This window comes from Homo sapiens, chromosome 12, assembly GCF_000001405.40.
Source record: "Homo sapiens chromosome 12, GRCh38.p14 Primary Assembly".
NCBI classification, from domain to species: Eukaryota; Metazoa; Chordata; class Mammalia; order Primates; family Hominidae; genus Homo; species Homo sapiens.
Genome location: NC_000012.12, coordinates 80,088,303 through 80,110,722, shown reverse-complemented (window position 1 = coordinate 80,110,722; position 22,420 = coordinate 80,088,303). Strand labels below are relative to the sequence as shown.

General features: G+C 37.5%; 1 protein-coding gene and 1 pseudogene across 3 annotated transcripts in view; one reads left to right on the top strand and one right to left on the bottom strand.

Moving 5' to 3' along the window:
- The window catches only part of OTOGL (otogelin like), a 281,344-nt gene extending 270,158 nt beyond the window's left edge, over positions 1-11,186 (bottom strand). For all 3 annotated transcript variants that reach the window (NM_001368062.3, NM_001378610.3, NM_001378609.3), the window contains exon 1: positions 11,118-11,186. The gene's annotated coding sequence lies outside the window, so the exon portion shown is untranslated. The remainder of the gene's footprint in view (positions 1-11,117) is intronic.
- Positions 7,366-7,864, top strand: RPL26P32 (ribosomal protein L26 pseudogene 32; annotated as a pseudogene).

Below are 22,420 nucleotides of genomic sequence, written 5' to 3'. Positions count from 1 at the left end.
ATGCACACGTATGTTTATCACAGCACTATTCACAATAGCAGAGACTTGGAACTAACCCAAATGTCCATCAATGATAGACTGGATAAAGAAAATGTGGCACAAATACACCATGGAATACTATGCAGCCATAAAAAAGAATGAATTCATGTCCTTTGCAGGGACATGGATGAAGCTGGAAACCATCATTCTCAGCAAACTAACACAGGAACAGAAAACCAAAAACCGCATGTTCTCACTCATAAGTGGGTGTCGAAAATGAGAACACATGGGCACAGGGAGGAGAACATCACACACCGGGGCCTTTCAGGTGATGGGGAGCAAGGGGAGGGATAGCATTAGGAGAAATACCTAATGTAGGCTGGATGCAGTGGCTGACACCCGTAATCCCAGCACTTTGGGAGGCCAAGGCAGGCGGAGCCTGAGGTCAGGAGATCGAGACCATCCTGGCTAACACGGTGAAACCCCATCTCGACTAAAAATACAAAAAATTAGCCGGGTGTGGTGGCGGGCGCCTGTAGTCCCAGCTACTCGGGAGGCTGAGGCAGGAGAATGGCGTGAACCTGGGAGACGAAGCTTGTAGTGAGCCGAGATGGTGCCACTGCACTCCAGCCTGGGCACAGAGTGAGACTCCGTCTCAAAAAAAAAAAAAAAAAAAGAAAGAAAGAAAAAAAAACTAATGTAGATGACAGGTTGATGGGTGCAGCAAACTACCATTGCACATGTATACCTATGTAACAAACCTGCATGTTCTGCACATGTATCCCAGAACTTAAGGTATAATTTAAAAAATTTAAGTATTATAAGAGTGTGTAAGGGAATTTACTAGATTTTGTGATGTTTGTGATAATTGTCAGCTTTAAAAAAATTTTATATTTTGTTGTAATTTCTTTTCTTATTCTAAATACATATTCACTTTCATATCTAAAAGAAAAAAAAGAATAAAGACTAATGTGGTGGTCATCAGTCATCAGTGCTATTCCAGTTATCCTTCTAGGCATGTGGTACATTTGCACTTCTCTCATCCTTTGATATTGGATCTGGCCAATCAGGTGTTACTCTGGCCAATAATGAAATAAATTGAAGAGACATGGATCCCTTTGAGCTCTAAAAGCTTTGAAAGCTAGTGTTAAAGTGTTCTGTGTCCCCCCTAAATAATGAAATCCTCTTTCATCCAAACCCGTATAAATATCCTTCAAACAAATCACATGGATCAACAACAATGGCAGAGAAAATTTCTGGCAATGCATAGATACAACATAACTCAGAGACAAAGTAAAATAAGATACTATGAGTTTCAAATGGCATGATAAAGTAAATGAGTAAAGATATTAATGTTTGGGAAACCACATTTCTCCCCGAATGAAAAAGAAGATACAATAACAAATAGAGAAAGAACCCTGTGTTGTTTGATTTAAAATAGAATTCATGTCAATACAAACTCATATTTTATTGTGATACATTTTGAGCTCTGACCTTAGCAAGGGCCTGGAAGTAACAATAGCTTCATAGCAATAAAAACATTTAGTTTCAGATTTTTGTTTCTAAATATCATTCCATACTCAGTCTTCTTAAAGAAATTAATGATTCTAAAGTTGGGGCATAAGAAGCACAAGATGAACCTAGAGCATATTTTTTCCATGTGTCATAAAAGAGAAAAGAGGTTAAAGACTGGAGACGAGTCAGAAAGATATAAGAGCTGTCTTAAAGCCAAATCTGGAATAATTTGAGCAAAGAATAATGATAACCGTAAATTATATATGTGTGTGTGTATATATATATATATATACACACACATATATATATACACATATATATACACATATATATACACATATATATACACATATATACACATATATATACACATATATATACACATATATATACAATATATATACATATATATACACATATATATATACATATATATATATACATATATATATATATACGTGTATATATATATATTTTTTTAAATACATGTGTCCAGAGTGTTACTAAAGAAAGGAGGTGGGGGAGAACGTCTTTATAGAAGAATGTCAGCTAACAAATGTTAGAATTAGAAAACCACCAATTTAATAATTGATTCAAGCAAAAGTCATCAATGGATGCTAAAAGCATTGGGTGAAAATTTAAGATACAGGATACTGACACATTCTCAAAGTATCTCCCACATAGATTGCCATAAATTGCAAAGAGAAAAAAAAGTAACAATGAAAAATATCTAGCAAGTGTCACTTTAGCCAACTAATCAAATTTCACGTCACCAATTTGGGACAAATGCCTCTTGATATGATTCAAGTGCTTAGCATCGTTTGTGTTTAAAAATAAAAAAACTAGAAATGTATTCCACCCACTTACCACTACAGAAAGAACAATTATTCAGAATTATAATTGTTATAATTATAACAATTATATTATAACAGAATAATTAATCAGAATTACTGCAAAATTCAAATGACATAATCCATTTGAAAAGGAAGCAAGTCAATATGACAAAAATCCAATGTTCTAAAGCCAGTTCACAGAAAATCAATTAGATTAATGACTAAATGTAAAAATAAATCTATTTGCCAACTTCCTGATATTAGCAACTTACAAAAGTCTTATTTCTTTTTAACTTTTATTTTAGTTTTGGGGTACATGTGCAGGTTTGTTAAATAGGTAAACTGCGTGTCATGGGGTTTGGTGTACAGATCATTTCATCATGTGGGTAATAAACATAGTACCCAATAGATAGTTTTTTGATCCTGTCCCTCCTCCCACCCTCCACTCTCAAATAGGCCCCAGTGTCTGTTATTTCCCTCTTCGTGTCCATGTATTCTTGTTACTTAGCTCCCATTTATAAATGAGAACATGTGGTATTTGGTTTTCTGTTCCTGCATTAGTTTACTTGGGATAATGGCCTCCAGCTCCATCATGTTGCTGCAAAGGTCATGATCTTCCTCTTTTATGGCTATGTAGTATTCCATGGTGTATATGTATCATATTTTCTTTATCTAGTCTACCACTGATGGGCCTTTAGGTTGATTCCATGTCTTTGTTTTTGTAAACAGCGCTGCAATGAACGTATGTGTACATGTGTCTTTATGGTAGAATGATTCATATTCTTTCGGGTGTATACCCAATAAGGGGCTTGCTAGGTCGAACGGTAATTCTGTTTTAAGTTCTTTGAGAAACCACCACACTGCTTTCTACAATGGCTAAACTAATTTACATCCCCACCAGCAGTGTATAAGCATTTCCTCTTCTCCGCAACCTCACTAGCATCTGTCATTTTTTCACTTTTTCACTTTAATTTTTTCACTTTAATAATAGCCAAAAATTCTGACTGATGTGAGATGGTATCCCATTGTGGTTTTGATTTGCATTTCTCTAATGATTAGTCATGTTGAGCATTTTTTCATATGCTTGTTAGCCACATGTATGCCTTCTTTTGAAAAATGTCCGTTATGTCCTTTGCCCACCTTTTAATGGGGTTGCTTTTTGCTTGTAAATTTAAGTTCCAAAAGGCTTGTTGCTTTTAACTCTTTGAATAACATTTCATGAAGTGTGAGATAATTTGTTACAGCAGAAATAGGAAACTAATATAGCCATTCTAGGCCAGTCAGTTTACAACTAATTTGCCAGCTGATCCTAGACACCTGAGCAAGCCCAGTCAATATCAGGCAGATGATAAATCATTCTATTCAATATAAATTACTATAAAATTTATAAATGGTTAGAAGACACACATTTTTGGTACATGTAAACTCTTTGTAAATTTGTCAAATTGGTAATTCATTAAAATTTTTAGCAAATTAACCAAAGTAAAAAAAAATGCTTCAAAAACATAGTACTAATTTAAAAAAAAAAGAAAAAAACATAGTACTAATAAATATTGTCATGCATTTCACTGCTGAATTGATAAAACTAAGTAGGATAGGCATAACAAATAAAAGAATTTAATGGCCACTGTTGCATTGCTTTCTATACAGTATGATTAATTAAATATAGCTGAAGCAGTTATAAAAGATGGAAGAATGCAATCCAGAGAATCATACATTACGAGTACTAGTAAGGCAAAGGATATAGGATTGTGTGCATGTGCACACACTTGTGTATGTGTGTGCGTATGTTTCATGAGATGGCTGCAAAAGTCTTCAACTCCTGTTATAATATGTGCCAGTTGCCTGAAAATCTAATAATCAGTTTAGGAAACATATGGAGAAGAACAGAAAAGGAATTACCAAAAAATATATCAAGAAAAAAAGAGGAACAGGAAAGAAGAAAAGTGGACATTCAATCTCTGGAGAGATAAAACAAATACACAGGTGATTGTCAAACCATTGAGAAATAACCCTAAAACAGATTACCAGTCTAGTGACTTGGGACCCTGGACATAGTCTGTGAAGACTGAAATATAACAGCATCAGCATGAGGTAGTTTCTGGTAGTGTGAAAGCCACCCTCTCCCAAATGAAGGCAGGAAAAAATGATTTCAAGAGAAGATAAATCTGCTAAGAGCTGACGAATCTTCCTTCATCATTTCATGCATAAATGTGTCCACGCACAAATACCAAATGGTAACATCTGAGTATAATATCCAAATGGGGCACAATGGCTTTGGAGTCAACAAATGTTTTAGTGGATATACTGCAGCAGTTGTGATTTGTGCCCACTCATCCTTGTAGATCTTGGAATTATTCCTTTTTGTTTTTAGTGATGTCATATGACATTTGGTCTCACAATTAAATCTGAACAGATCCAAAAAATAGTTTGCTCATGTTTTTATGGAAACGTTTTTATCCGTAAATGGTTGATGTTTTTTCCCAGTATCTGTTGGAATGAAGCCTTTGATGATTTCCAGTGGGTACACTGTCAGGTATTGACAGCAAAGTTCCAGTGCTTTGTAAACTTTTCCATAAAACAATCTTCAGATATAGTTATTTAAATGTAGTCATGCCGGGGATACCAATTTACCACTTCTTATCCAAAATCAAAAAGTCTGAATGGGTAAAGGGGAGTATGATGGGGAAAGGCAAGAGTTGGGAAGCAGAGAGGAAAAATGTTATTGTATTAACATTAAGGTTCATGATACTTATAATTCTTGATATATATTTAAACATTTATATAGACTGGGCTAAAAGCATCAATAATTTTCACTCTTCAGGTGAAAAGGGTCTTAATTAGAACAATTTAGATACTGCCCAAGAACAATAATAATATATGGTACAAAGATAAAAATCTGCAGGTTATCCTGAAATAACATCTTCTAAATTGATATTACTATTTCCTTTTATTTCAGAAATGTAGCTAGGATATGAGAAACTTTCTCAAAATAGCTAGCTGTGTGACCTTAGGCAGGCAATCTAACTTCTTTGGGCCTTAATTTTAAAATAAAGAATGAACCATAGGTTCCCTTCTACCCATACCATTTTATAATTGAGTGATGACTGAATTTATTTTGATGCGACTTTTTCTCCACATATGTTTTAAACTCACACTTACTGCTATTGTTTATGTTCTTAGAATAGTTTTAAATGAATTTTACCCAAAGATAGGAAATTGCTAATTTAGTCATGTTTTTTTTTCTCAGCATACTTTCTTAATTTCAGTTTTGTTCGTTTGTTTTGTTTTTGAGACGGAGTTTTGCTCTTGTTGCCCAGGCTGGAGTGCAGAGTGCAATGGTGCAATCTCGGCTCACTGCAACCCCCACCTCCCTGGTTCAAGCGATTCTCCTGCCTCAGCCTCCCAAGTAGCTGGGATTACAGGCATGCACCACCACGTCTGGCTAATCTGTTGAATTTTTAGTAGAGACAGGGTTTCTTCATGTTGGTCAGGCAGGTGTCGAACTCCCGAACTCAGGTGATCTGCCCGGCTCAGCCTTCCAAAGTGCTGTGATTACAGGCATGAGCCACCGTGCCAGGCCAGTTTTTATTTTCGAGTATGTTTTGGTTCATAATAAAAATTATGAATTTACCAGATTTCTTTAAAAGATTGATGATACACAATCCTTACTAAATCTTTTGTGTGACAATCTATAGATACCTACAATAATGCCTTGCACTTAAACTGTGCCCAACTAGGCAGCTCTCTCCCACCCCTACAACACTGCTCTCACCCCCCTGACATGCTCTCACCCCTCCAACGTATGCCTTCTTGAGAAAATAAGGAAGACAATGACGAACTAAGGCACTGTATCCACTCAATTATTAAGTGTATCCTTGGCACTAGCTAGCTAAGTGAGTTGGGTCCTTCCCCAAGTTAGGTAAGTGCTTGCTACCATACACAGGAAAGAACACGCCTCTCTTGGCAATTTAATTCGTCTGAGGCAGGGCCTAAGTATCCATTTTTTAAAGCTCCCCCAGTGATTCTAATGAGCAATAAGGGTTGAGAAATGGAAAAGCTTGAGGTATGTGGCTTTTCTAAGCATTCAATCTTCCCAGCAATCTGGATATGGGAGAGATGTGAGATTGGGATGTTTCTCACTGGATCCTGGCCCCATCACAAGTCTACTGCATTTTGGGTATTCAAATCCCAAAGTACTCCTATCTCCTGTACTAGCTTGTAAGCTGCTTTCAGAGTAGGTTCCTTGCCTCATACCTCACTGAATCCCTTACAGCATCTAGCACATGGCTTAACACCTTCATGCTTCATTAATCATCTTCAGGTTAAAATAGAAATGAATATTGGGAATTCTGATCTTTTCAGCCCAACTTCTGTAGGTGTTGGGATTAAGTCAACAGGGAAAAGATCAAGTTATTTTCTGTATGAAATAAATTATATTTTGACCCCTGGCCACAAAAGATCAATCACATTTTAAAAAGTACTGATGAATCTTCAGAAACAAGGCAAAAGTTATCAGTTCTCAGGTGTCTAGAATATATTATCTTAAAAACAATTACATCATTACAGGCCCATTTTTCTTTTTCAAATAGTTGTGTGAATGTTTGCAAAGGTATAGGCATTTTTAGAATAATACTAGCGGTATTTCCATATTATTCAGCTATTACTATGTTCCTAAATGGAGAAAGTCATGCAATAAATATTGAATGCCAACTATGTGCAAGGCACTCTGCTAGGTGGTACGTATACAGCAGTGACAGGACAGCTTTTATGGAACCTGCATTCTAACACACAACATAACTAATTATTCAATTACATTTTAAATGAGTGCTATGAAAGAGAAGTAGAGTGATTTGAATATATAACAGATCCAATTTAGCCATGGGGTCAAGAAAGTGATATTTGAGCTGACTGTTGAAGAATTCATAAGAATTAACTATGGGAAGAGAAGGGACAACATTCTGGCATAGGGACAGCAAGTGAGAAGATGCCACAGTCAAAAGGAATGTGAAGCCTGCAAGAAAAGAAAAGAAGATCGATCACCGAAGCGGGAGCGGCCAAAATGAAGTTTAATCCCTTTGTGACTTCCGACCGAAGCAAGAATCGCAAAAGGCATTTCAACGCACCTTCCCACATTCGAAGGAAGATTATGTCTTCCCTTCTTTCCAAAGAGCTGAGACAGAAGTACAACGAGCGATCCATGCCCATCCGAAAGGACGATGAAGTTCAGGTTGTACGAGGACACTACGAAGGTCAGCAAATTGGCAAAGTGGTCCAGGTTTACAGGAAGAAATATGTTATCTACATTGAATGGGTGCAGCGGGAAAAGGCTAATGGCACAACTGTCCACATAGGCATTCACTCCAGCAAGGTGGTTATCACTAGGCTAAAACTGGACAAAGACAGCAAAAAGATCCTTGAACGGAAAGCCAAATCTCGCCAAGTAGGAAAGGAAAAGGGCAAATACAAGGAAGAAACAATTGAGAAGATGGAGGAATAATCTTATATACAAGCTTTGATTAAAACTTGAAACAAAGGAGAAAAAAAAGAAGAGCCTTATGACTAGAGCTCCGAGAGTAAAGAGTTGGTAAGAGACAACTCTGGGAAACTAGTCCATCCATCAGTAGGACTTTATTAAAGTTTTAGGATATACCTCAAGAAATAACAGGAAACCTTAAAAGCTAAGGAAGAACACAGTCTGACATATTTTTCAAACACCCTGACTACAGTGAGGGGGATAGATACAATTGGGAGTGGGGGAAAATTGAAGGGAAGAGACCATCAGGAAGGATGTTTAAGTAATCAAGATAAAGAGATTGTATCTACAACTAGAGGGGTGACAGTGGAGATGTAGAGAAGTAGCCGGTTCAAGAAATACTTAAAGCTAAAATCAACGGGACTTGGTAATCAAGTGGACATAGGAGTGAAGGAGGAAAAGGAATAAAAGCTGATGCCCAGTCCCCTGGCTTGGACTACTAGGCAATTGCATGCTGGTGCAGTTCATACAAGGAACACATGAAAAGGTCTACCATTGAGGGAAAAGCCACAAGGACATTTAATTGATGATAATATATAGCAATGGCTCTGTTCCTGGCACTGTTCTAGGTGCAATGGATATATCAACGGTAAGTAAGATAGATAGATAAATAAGCTGATTGATAGATCGTAGCAAGTATGTGAGATAGATTCTATACATTCCCTAGTTTACTTAGGGTCCCAGGGAGTTAAGTAAGTTGCTCAGTCACACAGTTAGTAAGTGCACAGTCCCTCAACCACTGCATTCTGCATCCTACTTGTATTGAGTTTGAGTGGATTTATCAACTAGTGGATTCATAGGTCTGGAATTAATAGAAGCCTGGATTGGAAAAATTGTTGCATAAGAGAACATAAGGTTACATTTCAGAATTAAGAACATTTCTTGATTCAATTGATCCTTGGAGACCAAACACTCTTTCTCCGGAATAAAAAATGTGAAATGGAACAGATTAATATTGGAGCTCTTCCCAAAGTATTTTCCGTTTAATTACAATGAGGACATCAATACCACAACACTTCACCTACAGCAATTTCCCCCCTTTACAGGTATGGTGTGGGCTCAAGTAAACAGATCCCAATCTCAAGTTTCTCTTATAATTAGTTCTGTGCCCTTGGAAAAGTTGCTTTAGCAGTGTGAGACTCAGTTTCTTCATCTATTAAATGAGGATTTTTTTAAAAAAAACTGCTTTTACACTTACTGTGATGATTATATGATATAACATAGATACTGGACTAGGCACTATATTTAAAAACTGTTCCCTATTATGCTATTGCTCTACATGATGAATATGTTATAACAAGGCTATCATATAATTATTTGTCTTATTTTACATTAATTGAATTATAATGCAGTTGTGATAGAACATAGGCTGAAAAGAGATAAAACAGTCTCCACTCAACCTTCCATTTTTGGCACCTATCCAAGAGCCATAAAGCCAGAAAGGAGGATGTTCAGGAGAATGAGGAAGTGTGTGTGACTACCTTAATTCTTACACTCAAATATTAAGAGCATTTAAAATTCTTTGTACTAAAAAACTGGATACATATTCCACCCACTTACCACCACAAAAAGAACTTAGAGCCATGAGGCCTGTACTAACTTGTACCACACCATTGTATTTGAACTCTTGCGGAAACATCAACCTTTCACGTAGGAGGAGCAAGCAGGATTTGTTAAAGAGAAAAAGCAAGAGATTCTGCAGGAACATCTTAAGTGCTTTTAAAGCAAACATTTGAATCACAGCAACAGAAGCTCACTTTTTTAAATTGAGGCTTTTCATTTTACCTTTCATTGCATGGTTATTCACCAGCATGCTGGAATTACAAAATTTTCAAGTTCTTATTTAAATGCTTGATCAGTACTATGAACCCAGTGCTATAAGAATACAGGCTTTTAAAAAATAGAATAAATTCCTTAATATACTAAGCCTTGACAACTGCAAAGAATTTTGTTAAAATGTACTAGCATTTTCTCCATTTGAAATGGGAAACACATGGGAAAAAAAAAGTGAAAGTTGAGGAACTGGAAAAACAAAAGTAGGAAAGGATTTATTCATTAAGATGAATAAATCTTAGCACAATGTCTACAGCCAGTCTGAATCATTCTTCCTTTGCATAAACATTCTGGAGTTGTAATAATGTCTCCCACCCCCAATACCAGCTTGAAAGAAAAGGAAAAGAGGTTAACTTCTATAAAGTACTGACCTTGTGGCCAGTTTCTCGTAACACCTAAACACAGATTAACAGAGTGAATTCATGTAATACTTTCTAGCGGTTTGAAAAACAATGTGTTTTATAAAGTTGAAATCAATTATATGGGTTTATATGAGCCTCCACTATTAATAAGCTTTGTATAAACTACATTTTTAAAAATTTTTTAATTTTTGATTATTATGGATACATAATAGTTATACATATTTATGGGGTACATATGATATTTAGATAAAAAGATATAATGTATAATGATCAAATTGAAGTAGTTGGGGTATCCATCACTTCAAGCATTTATCATATTTTTGTTGTTGTTAGGAGAAGTAAGATCTAGTGTTCGGTGGCTTAATAGGGCAACCATAGTTAACAATAATTTACTGTATATTTTAAAATAACTAAAAGAGTAGAATTGGAATAAACTACACTTTAAAGTAACAATACTTGCCACTAGTTGGGCAACTGAAAGTCCTGAGTTCTTGAGCAAATTTCCATTGTCTGAAACCATAGGTTTCAACCTATAAAACCTGCCAATTATGGATAGAAGGGATTTCTGCCTTCCAGACCATGAGGAAGCGGGAGAACTTAGCCCAAGAGTAACAGAAAATGGGCAGGAGCCATGTGTGTAATTGATCCTTTTAGAGCTGACTTTCAGTTAATGAATTATTTCCATTAACGTGAAGCAACAGTAATAACAGCCACAGAACACGGGACCAGGAGTGGAACCATCCAAATCACCAGTTTCCTCTCTTCAAAGTGATTGGAACTAAACCATTGATTTTTCCAACTGAGTGAACATCCAGGGGTTCTTAGATTTATCAAAGGAAGCATTATGCTACAGAGAGAAAATACAGGTCATTCTTGAGCTGTTTAATTTTAATTATAATTTTTAAATGTTTTCTATGCCAACCTTGTATTGCAGGTTATATTGTAAATGCTTCATCACCTCTCATTTCCATTAAACCATTTTCAGTAGAACAGCCAACTGCCCTTACTTCTCGATTTGCTTTCTTATGACTGCTGCCACTTCCATCCCCCAAAACTTACCAGGGAAGCACTGGCTATGGCTTTATTCCTTATGGGTTGTATTTCGAGAGCTCCTTTATCTGAAGGTCTGAAAGCCCTACCAGAAAAACATCCTTATATACTTTCTACAGAAAAGGAAAAGAGCAGTGGTGAAGCACTTAAAATATCAAACAGTGGGTATAAATCACTCAGTACCTCATCCCCTTTTTGCTGATGTAAAGTCCATAACCATGGCAACAGGGATTAGAAATAGCAACCTATGAAAAACACTGGGTTTATTGGAGCACATGGAAGTTTTAGTTTGGTTTTCAGCTAAATCTTGAAAAAACAAATCTTTGACTAATACCTACATGCTATTTTTATCACTTTTGAGAAGTAATGTTTAAATTATGGATTAAGGGGAAGTCGTTTTTTTCCCCTTAATAAAGATAATCAAAAATATCATAAGCTAATATTGCAGGTAGGGAACGTTAAAAGGCTCTCCTTGTTTGTCCCCCAGTCTTCTAACTCTAGTCTCCCTAATGTAGGTGTTTGACAACAAAATAATATCAATTATCTGTCCTGATTTGTAGATTTAGTTGCAGGTTGAACTCTGGTTTTTTAATTGATATCTCTCTCCAACATAAAATTTTCAGACTTTTTTTATTCACAGACAAAAGAAGTTTTCCTTAGATATGAAGAGAGGCCTAATGATCATTTAATCTATAAATTAGATGCTTCCCTATGTTTATTAAGCTCCTTCTTTAATAAGCAGTAAATTGTAAAGCTCAAGGATTCAGCTTCAAAGATAGTATACTAGAGGAAGAAAGGGTCTGTGATCAGGAAGGTATGAGTGTGATGAGACTAGAACCCATTAGGGGCTGACATCTGTCCCCACTCATCATTCCCATCTTCATTTACTCATCCTTCAAGGCCTCACTCAAAACACATCTCTTCTATGAATCCCTCCAGGTTTACACTTTGCAGTTGATCCTCATCATTCACAGATTCAGTATGTGCGAATTCACCTAGCAGCTAACGTTCATTTGTAACCCCAAAATCAATACTCACTATGCTTCTGAGGTTATTCACAGAAATGTGCACAATGGCACGTTCTTAGCTGAAGTCAAACAAGGCAACATTGCCTTCTTGTTTTAGCTCTCATATTATAAACAAGTACCCTTTTTGTGATCTATGTAATGGCATGTTTTTTGCATGTTTGTCCTTTTCTTGGTGATTTTGTTGTTTAAAGGAAGCCCAAAGCACAGTGCAGAAGTGCTATCTAATGATCCTGAGCACAAGGAGGCTGTAATGTGCCTTACAGGGAAAATATGTGTTCGATAAACTCCAGACATGAGTTGCAGTGCTGCTGGCTGTGAGTGCAATGTTAACGAATCTACAATGTATATTAAATATGGTGTTTTTAAACAGAAATACACATAGAACAAGGTTATTAATTGATCAGTTGATCAGTTGACAAAAATGTTGTAATCAGAGGATCACAGGAACCTAACCCTGCATTTCCCCTAGGAGCAATGCTTAATTGCTGAAGCAATTAGCTTCAGTATTCCCTAATTCATTGATTCTGACAACTTTGTAGAACAGAACTACTGAAAATAACAAGACTCAACTGTGGCTTAAACTCAGATTGCTCTCATTTAAAACTTGTCTCTAACTCCTAATTAGCCCCTTATTATACACAGCTTTATATTCTAACTGTTGGTATTATACTGCCTAGGTCTTTGTTATGTGCTTTTTTTTTTTTTTTTTTTTTTTTTTTGGTGAAACAGAGTCTCGCTGTGTCACCCAGGCTGGAGTGCAGAGGTGCCATCACGGCTCACTGCAACCTCCGCCTCCCAGTTGAAGCGATTCTCCTGCCCCAGCCTCCTAAGTAGTGGGGATTACAGGCACCCACCACTATGCCCAGATAATTTTTGTATTTTTAGTATAGACGGTGTTTTGCCATGTTGGCCAGACTGTCTCAAACTCCTGACCTCAAATGATCCTCCTGCCTCGGCCTCCCAAAGCGCTGGGATTACAGGCATGAGCCCCCATGCTCAGCCTGTTATGTGCTTTTTTTATAAATAATAAAATAATAATAATACCAGCTCTTGATGATGGAGCTCCCACTATGTCAGGGTACTGACAGCTTTACAAACATGCCGTTTGTGGGTGATTCATCTCCCAAATTAAATGGCAAGCTCCTTTTCTTCAGGGACCTCATCATTTTTAATGCATAATATTGTTTAGCACAGAGGCAGGACCATAAAACTTGCTGAAAAATTGAGGTGGTTTTGTTTTCATTCTTGTCACACATTTCATTAGGTATTTTTGAAAAGTGACATTGTCCAAGTAAATTTTCTATCATGGTTAATGATGAAACTGATAATCGTATTTTTCATCCCTATTATGTATTGACCACTTATGATTTTTAAACAGTGTTTAGTGCTTTATATACAGAATCTCATTTTAATCATTAAAACCACACTATTAAAAAACTAATACACAGAAAATTTAAATAGCTTTCTAAAGTCATAGCTCCTGAGGGATAAAATTGGACTTCAATGCAGAGGTTCTTACCCGTTTCAGGTAAAGGCCCTTTTAAAATAAAAAATTTCTTAAATTTCCTGTAAAAGCCCAGTTATAATAATAATTAAAACTTAAAAGTGCTTACTCTGGGCCAAGTGCTATCTTAGCAACTTTCAGAGATCAATTTATTTAATCTTCACAACAGCTTATAAAATCAATATTATTATCTTCCTTTTACAGGTAAAGACCCTGAACCCTGAAAAATTGAAGTCTGCTCAAGGTCACACAGCTAGACAGTAAGTTGCCAAGCCAGGATTCAAACACAAAATACTCTGTCTCCAGAATCTGGCCCTTAACCATTTCACAACACTGCTTTCAACCCATGGATATACGTTCTGACTGTTACCATATAATGACAAAAATAAACTAAATTTATTAAACATATTAGGTAAATTTACATCTCATTTACCATAAAAGCAGCCATATATGTTTGAAATATCAGAGTAAGTGAATATGAGAGAGTTGTTTATTCTACAGACTATGGTCACTGAACCTGTGATTAAACACAGTTTGGGTCCCTCTACCATTGGCAGAGATGTACTTCCAACTGAAATAACTTCCCAGCATCAGAACCGCTGGCACGGTTATTGCCACTTTCATAATTCTGAGGTTAGAGAGGCCCAAACTGTACTCAACTCCATCATTTACTGCTATAGGATGCTAGGCAACTAGCTCACCTTCTGAAGTCTCATTTTTCCATCCCTCTCTTCAAAGTGATATAATACTATCCAGCTCATAGACTTGTTGTGAGAAATAAGATGAACTATATAAAGAACCCAGCACAACAAATAGTAAACAATCAATAAACATAAGTTCTGACCCCAAGAGACACTTACTCCTCCTCCACCAGATTAGGGCACTTGGAGATCAAGATTAACTCAAATCAAAGAGAAGCTCACCCTTTGAACCCTGAGATTTGGACTGCTAGCCACTGACGTATTTCCACAGGAACAGCTCCTGCCCGACTAGAGAAAGAAAGCACTACCCAGAAAACCAGGACCAATAACCCAATGAAGTAGCATATTGTGGTGGTTAACCATCTAATTTTGGAGTTGAAACAGCTGAGTTTTCATCCAAGCCATGATTCTAGCTGCTTTATGGCCTTCTGTAAATTACATAATTGATCTAATCCTTGTGTTGGTTTTTTTTTTGTCTGTAAAACAGAGTTCCTGTAATGATTATCAAGCTAATATTTCTACAATCCTGGAACATGGTAGGTGATCATGTTGAGGAACAGGGTCTGTGTGTCAGCCATTGTCTGTATTCTGTCCACTTTCACCTTCAACAGGGAGCTAGGTTCCCCCTTTGCACCTACAACCACATGCACCTGAATCCCCCACCTCTCTCAGGACTGTTGGATGATAGGATGTCCACAGGTGATCCAGGCTTGAGGAAATCAGCACTCTGTGTCCCTTCCCCATCTGTTCCTGGTCCTCACCTACCATGAGAACTTCTTCTTCCCCTTCCTATCTTTATAATTCCACTCCCTTCACACCTCCCTCTCTCCAGCTTCTTCTGCATGCCTCTACTCTCTTCCCCCCACCTCAAGTCTAATTTTTGGATGTGAAATTATGATCTTTAAAAAGGCAGCAAAATCTTTCTGTCCCACACTTAGGCTAGAGATTTCTTTGAGCATTTGTTTCTGCTTCCACTGCAAACTAAGGGTGTTCTTAGGGTACCAATAAGAAACTAAAGAAGATCAATTAACAGGAAACAAACATATATATCCCTACCTCCCACATATATGTATAGCTATAGGGTAAATGCGTCTAATAGCAATATCTTAAGCATACCCTGAGAATGACCATGTATGGCAGATGCACCTGAATGTGTTCTAAGCTAAGGGATCCGTGAGTGGCCAACCCAGAGATTCCTTCTTTGTCTGTGAGGAACATCTGAGCCCCATCCCATCCTGTAAAACACCAGCCATACAGCAATTCGAGGCCCGTGTTTTGGGTTGCATTAAGGTTGCCAGGTGAAGGTTGTTAGGGAAAGAGTGCTAAGTGAAAATGCTGTATGATCTGTAAGCAGTTGCAGTTCTTCTGCCCAGCCTGCCACCACTGGACTCTCTCCACTGTATGAAAGTCTCCAATAAAATCCCATGACTCATTTGCTGGCTCTGGGTCTCTTCTTCTGTCTGTTGAACCTGGTGCCATCTCCACTGGAGTCAATAGGATTTTGGCATGACAATATCTAATCACATATATTCTATAAGAGCCTGCTACATGCTGGCTGCAATTCTAAATGCTGGGATATAGTCCCCACCTTCAAAGAGCTTATATTCTCTTTTTTCTTTTTCTTTTTTTCTTTTTTAAGAGACAGGGTCCTATTCTGTTCACCCAGGCTGGAGTGCAGTGGTGTAATCACAGCTCACTGCAGCCTTGAATTTCTGGGCACAAGCGATCCTCCTGCCTCAGCCTTCCAAGTAGCTAGGACTACAGGCATGTGCCATCACACCCAGCTAATTAAAAAAAAAAAAAATTGTAGAGACGTGTTCTGGCGATGTTGCCTAGACTGGTCTTGAACTCCTGGCCTCAAGCAATCCTCCTTTGTCGGCCTCCCAAAGTGTTGGGATTAAAGGTATGAGTCACCAAACCCACAAAGAATAGACGGTAAACAAGGAAACAATTTAATGTATTTATTTACCTGTTTGTTGTTCCTCGTTCCTCTTCCCTACAAGAATAAATAATGTAATGTGTAGATAATATACAAGTTACTTTTATAGAGATTAATATGACCATTTTCCCTAACAAAAAAAAGCTAATATTTATATAGTGCTAACTGCAGTGCTCAGCACTGTTTTAAGTACTTTATATGCATTAATTAACTGAGGATTCACAATGACTCCCTGAAGTAGATATTCTCCCTAACTTACAGTTGAGTAAACTGAAGTATAGAGAGTTTATAAGACTTGCCCATGGGATGGAATAGATCATGTTCACTAGATCTATGGCTAGATACTCTGCACCTGGATTTGTGTTAATATGCTCCCATTGAGATACCACTTCCATCAAAGCTACAGAAACTGGAGCTACTTCTTGGTCGGGTTTGTGGGAATTCAGAATCATCTTCCAGGATCCATCTGATTTTTGTAGGGCTCAGACTGGTGATTTAAATGAAGACATGATGGAGACCATGATCTCTGCATCTTTTGAGTCTTTAAGAATGGCCTTTATCTCTGCCATCCTCTCCCCTTGATTCTTCAATATTATTTCATATTTATTATTTGGCTAGGGTGGAGGTGTGATTTCATAGGCTTTCAAGTGGCCTTCCTCATGATGATAGAGCTTACTGCACAGGTCAAGGATCAATGTGTGCCTTCTGCCAATTTTCAAGTATGTGCAATCCAGTTATACATTTAAGTATCAGGGAAATTACTAGCAAGTGGGTTTATGGATATAGCTGATTCATTGTGAGTTGAATCTGAGCCACAATTGCATTTATTACCTGCTCCCTATATACTCCACTCCAACAGGGAGCCCAGGATAATTCTTTAGGTCCTTAAGTATCAATGTCAATCAGACCCATATTTAATAATTCAGAAACCCTCAAAATGTTTTGAGTGTTCTCCTTTTACCAGTATAGAGTTATTACCCAACTACGTGGCCATAGGTCTTTTCAGGGATAAATTGGAAGAAACTTTACTGAATACACTTGCTATAGGGTATAGAATCCATTCTTGTAAAGGACCCTGACTCTCCTTCAGTCAACGGGTTGCAGATATGCAAACTGGGTCAGGTTCGGAAATCGACTTTTTGTTGGGGCAGCTGTTCTCTGTCCTTAGACCACTTATCCTTGATTGTATAGATCGGGAAATGCCCCTGTTGGATGTCTACCTGTCTTTCCCCTAAGGATGCCCTATCCTATTAGTCATCTCCGTAGTTCTTCATGAGCCTGGATCCCATGGTTGCCATTCCAAAAACTTGTTGCTCATTATGATAGTTAATCCTATCTTGCATCTGGCAGTTAAGTGATACCACCTGGCCTCTACTAGTTTGGTATTTTCTCATGCCAACTGCTATCAGTGAGATAGAACAGCATCTCCTGGAGTAAAGAAGAGAACCACCGGCCGGGCCCGGTGGCTCAAGCCTGTAATCCCAGCACTTTGGGAGGCTGAGGCGGGTGGATCACGAGGTCAGGAGATCGAGACCATCCTGGCTAACATGGTGAAACCTCGTCTCTACTAAATATACAAAAAAAAATTAGCCGGGCGTTGTGGCGGGCGCCTGTAGTCCCAGATACTCGGGAGGCTGAAACAGGAGAATGGCGTGAACCCAGGGGGCGGAGCTTGCAGTGAGCCAAGATCGCGCCATTTGCACTCCAGCCTGGGGGAGAGAGCGAGACTCCGTCTCAAAAAAAAAAAAAGAAGAGAACCACCAATGCGCTTCTCAATGGCGTGGGTGCCCCCTTCACTAGCACATTTCTCATCCCGTTGGTAAACACAAAGGTGTTTCTGCAGAAAAATGTCAGCTGGTGTGTTTTCCAGCCCTATTTAGTGTCATTCCCTATGATATGCTTACTTACCTAAGCCTTTTGATCTCCACTTCATGTTCTGCCATGGTAGTTCTGAGGTTTCTACTTCACTTGGTGTTGACCATCGCTTTTTCTAAGAAAACAGTGTTTGGCATAATCTCCTTGGGTTCTTGCCAAGGTATAAAATCCAGTATCACAGAAGGGTGATCCCATATAATAAAACCTTAAATGTTCTTTCCCTGCTTTTCTAGCATTTATGCACTACTGATGATCATGTGACTAGTGTTTGTCTCTTGCTACTTAGCTCTTTTCCTCCCTTAGCAGGCCCAGTACTTTCCCAGCTGCAATATGTTTTAAGTCGATTCTAGTTATCACTTTGGAGGTCAGGAGGGAGGTGAGGATTGACTGGGGGAGGCGAGGAGAGCTTAACATGTTACATGGGCAGAGACTTCATTATCGTCTAGTTGGGCAGGGGACAAAAGTCAGTGGGGAGGAGAACAGTTTCTAACAAAGAAAAGTGAGCCACTTCTGCAGGACCACAGGGTTCAAGATGATCCGGGGTTTCAAGAATTTCAAGTGCATCAACTCAAATGTCCCAATCGTGTGTCTCAGAGTCTCATTCCTTCCCAACCAGAGCCCTAACTTTGGCATCACAGACTTGCTGGAGGGAGTTTATGATGGAAATGTAGATTGTAACCATACTACTATTGGCCTTGTAGATCACAATCAAAACTTTTGACTCAGTTCTAAGAGCAATAGGAAACTCAAATGGTTTTATTTGGGGAGGGAGGGAGACTGTTTTCATTTTTCTTTAATTTTTACATATTTAGGGAGTACAAGTGCAGATTTCTTACATCCGTATATTGCATCATGGTGAAGTCTGGGCTTTTTTTTAATTTTTTTTTTTTGAGACGTAGTCTCACTTTGTCGCCCGGGCTGGAGTGCAGGGGCGTAATCTCGGCTCACTGCAACCTCTGCCTCCCGGGTTCAAACGATTCTCCTGCCTCAGCCTCCTGAGGAGCTGGTACTACAGGCGTGTGCCACCACGCTCGGCTAATTATTTGTATTTTGTTGTAGAGACGGGGTTTCACCGTGTTAGCCAGGATGGTCTCAATCTCCTGACCTCGTGATCTGCCCGCCTCGGCCTCCCAAAGTGCTGGGATTATAGGCGTGAGCCACCACGCACGGCAGAAGTCTGGGCTTTTGGCGTAACTATCACCTGAACAGTGAACATTGTACCCAATAAGTAATCCTTCAACCGTCACCCGCTTCCCACCCTCCTACCCTTTGTAGTCTCTAATGTCTATTATATTCTGTAAGTTCATGTGGAACCATTGTCTAGCTCGCACTTATAAGTGAGAATATGTGGTATTTGTCTGTCTCTGAGTTGTTTCACTTAAAATAATAGCCTCCAGTTCCATCCATATTGTTGCAAAAGATATGACTATTCTTTTTTTAAAATGGCTGAGTAGTATTTCATTGTATGTATATATATATGACATTTTCTTTATCCAATCATCCACTGATAGACACTTGAGTTGACTCCTTATCTTTGCTATTGTGAATAGTGCTGTAATAAGCATTATGAGTGCAGATATCTTTTTTATATAATGAATTATTTCCCTTTTGGTATATAACCAGTAGCGGGATTGCTATTTTTAGTTCTTTGAGAAATCTCCATACTGTTTTCCATAAAGGTTATACTAATTTACATCCCCAGCAACAGTATATAAGCATTACTTTCTCCAACATCTGGCTGGTTTTAGATATTTTAATAATAAAAAATAAAATCCTGACTAATATAAGATGATCTCATTGTGGTTTTCATTTCCATTTCTCTGATTAGCGATGTTGAGTATTCTTTCATATGATTGTTGGCTGTGTGTATGCCTTCTGAAAACTGTTAATGTCCTTTGCCCACTTTTTCCCCTGTCGAATTGATACTTGTAGATTCTGCATATTAGCTCTTTGTCAGATACATAGTTTCCAAATATTTTTTCTCATTCTGTAGTTGTCTGCTTACTCTGTTAATTGTTTCTTTTGCTGTGCAGAAGCTTTTTAGTTTAAGTCCCATTTGTCTATTTTTGTTTTTATCATGTTTACTTCTGAGAACTTGGTCATAAATTCTTTGCCTAAGCCAAAGTCCAGAAGAGTTTTTTCTTGGTTTTCCTCTAGTATTTTTATAGTTTCAGGTTTTATGTTTAGTTCTTTTATCCTTCTTGAGTTGATTTTTATATACGGTGAGAGATAGGGGACCAGTTTCATTCTCCTTCATATGGCAAATGAATTTTCCTAGCACCATTTATTGAAAAGGGAGTCCTTTCCCCAGTGTATATTCTTGTTGACTTTGCAGAGATGAATTGGCTCTAGATATGCATCTTTATTTCTGGGTTCTGTATTCCATTCCACTGATCTATATTTCTATTTTTATACCAGTACCGTGCTGTTCTGGTTATTATAGCCTTGTAGTATAATTTGAAGTCAGGAAATGTGATGTCTCCAGCTTTGTTCTTTTTGCTTAGGATTGCTTAGGCTATTCAGGCTCCTTTTTTATACCATGTGAATTTTAGAATTGTTTTTTCTAATTCTGTGAAAAATGACATTGGTATTTTGATAAAAATTGCATTGAATCTGTAGATTGCTTTTGGAAGCATGGTCATGTTAACAATATTAGTTCTTCCAATCCATAAGCATGGGATGTTTTTCCATTGGTTTGCATCATTTACAATTTATTTCATCAGTATTTTGTAGGGTTCCTTGTAGAGATCTTTTACCCTCCTGGTTAAATATATTCCTACATGTTTTTATTTATTTATTGTAGCTATTGCAATGGGATTTCCTTCTTGATTTGTCCTTGGCTAGATTGTTATTGACATATAGAAGCACTACTCATTTCTGTATGTTAATTTTGTATCCTGAAACTTTATTGAATTCATTTATCAAATCTAAGTTTTTTGGTGGAGTCTTTCAGGTTTCCTAGATATAAGATTATATCAGTGAACAGAGATAATTTGACATCCTTTTATTCAATTTGGATGACTTTTCTTTCTTTCTCTTGTCTGATTGCTCTGGCTAAGAATTCTAGTACTACGTTGAATAGGACTGGTGTAGGCACTCTTGTTCCAGTTCTTGGAATGCTTTCAACTTTTCCCCATTAAGTATGATGTTGGCTGTGAGTTTGTCACATATGGCCTTTATTATTTTGAGATATGTTCCTTATATGCCTACTTTGTTGAGAATTTTTATCATGAAGGAATGCTGAATTTTATTGAGGGCCTTTTTTCTATCTATTGAGATGATCATATGGTTTTTTAAAAATTCTATTTGTAATGTATCAAGTTTATTGATTTGCATGTATCAAACCATTCTTATATCCCTGGGATAAATTTCACCTGATTATGTTGTGTTATCTTTTTGCTGTGCCAATATTTTGTTGAGGATTTTTGCATCTATGTTTGTCAGGGATATTAGTCTATAATTTTCTCTTTTTGAAAACTGTTGAATAGTTTTAAACAAGGGATAGGAGTGGATCTTTCTAACTAGGGCTACAGTATGAGTAATAAATTGGAGACAGCCAGAGTAGCTGAAGATAGAGCAATTAAGAAAGCCTAACATAAACCCAGGATGTGGGTGATGCCAGCTTAAGCTAGGGTATTGACATTAATATAGAGAAAAAAATAACAGTTTTAAGAGATATTTAGCAGCTACGATTTGCAAGACTTGATGAGGACTGCTTGTAGGAAGTAAGGGAAGAGAAGTGAGCCAAGAATGATGCTGAGATTTCTGGCTTGCCCAACTGATGAAGGAGGTTGTCATTCCAAATATGAAACAATAGAAAAAGACTGATAGGAGAAAGGAGAGAGATTATGTGTTTATTCTTAGATTAATTTTAAGTTGTGTTTGAGAAGTAACAAATTGTCCATTAGATAAACATGTTTAGAGCACAGAGGACTGATCTGAGCTGGAAATGAAAATTTGAGCGCCATCTGCTTACTGATAGTAGTATAAGACATGGGCATTAAAACAAAATGTAGACTGAGAGGAGGAGAAAGCTGGGAGCAAGTCTTAAGGAACTCCACAACTTGTTAACCTATAGAACAAAACGAACTGCAAAGAGACAGAAATAACCAGAGGAAAAAAGAAGAAAACCAGGAATTTGTTCAGGCCTTGAAACTATGAAAATAAAATATTCTAGAAAGAAGAATCAACCGTATCAAATTTGCTAAAAGATCTAGTAAGGTAATAACTGAATATATCCTTTAGATTAGAGACATGTACCACAC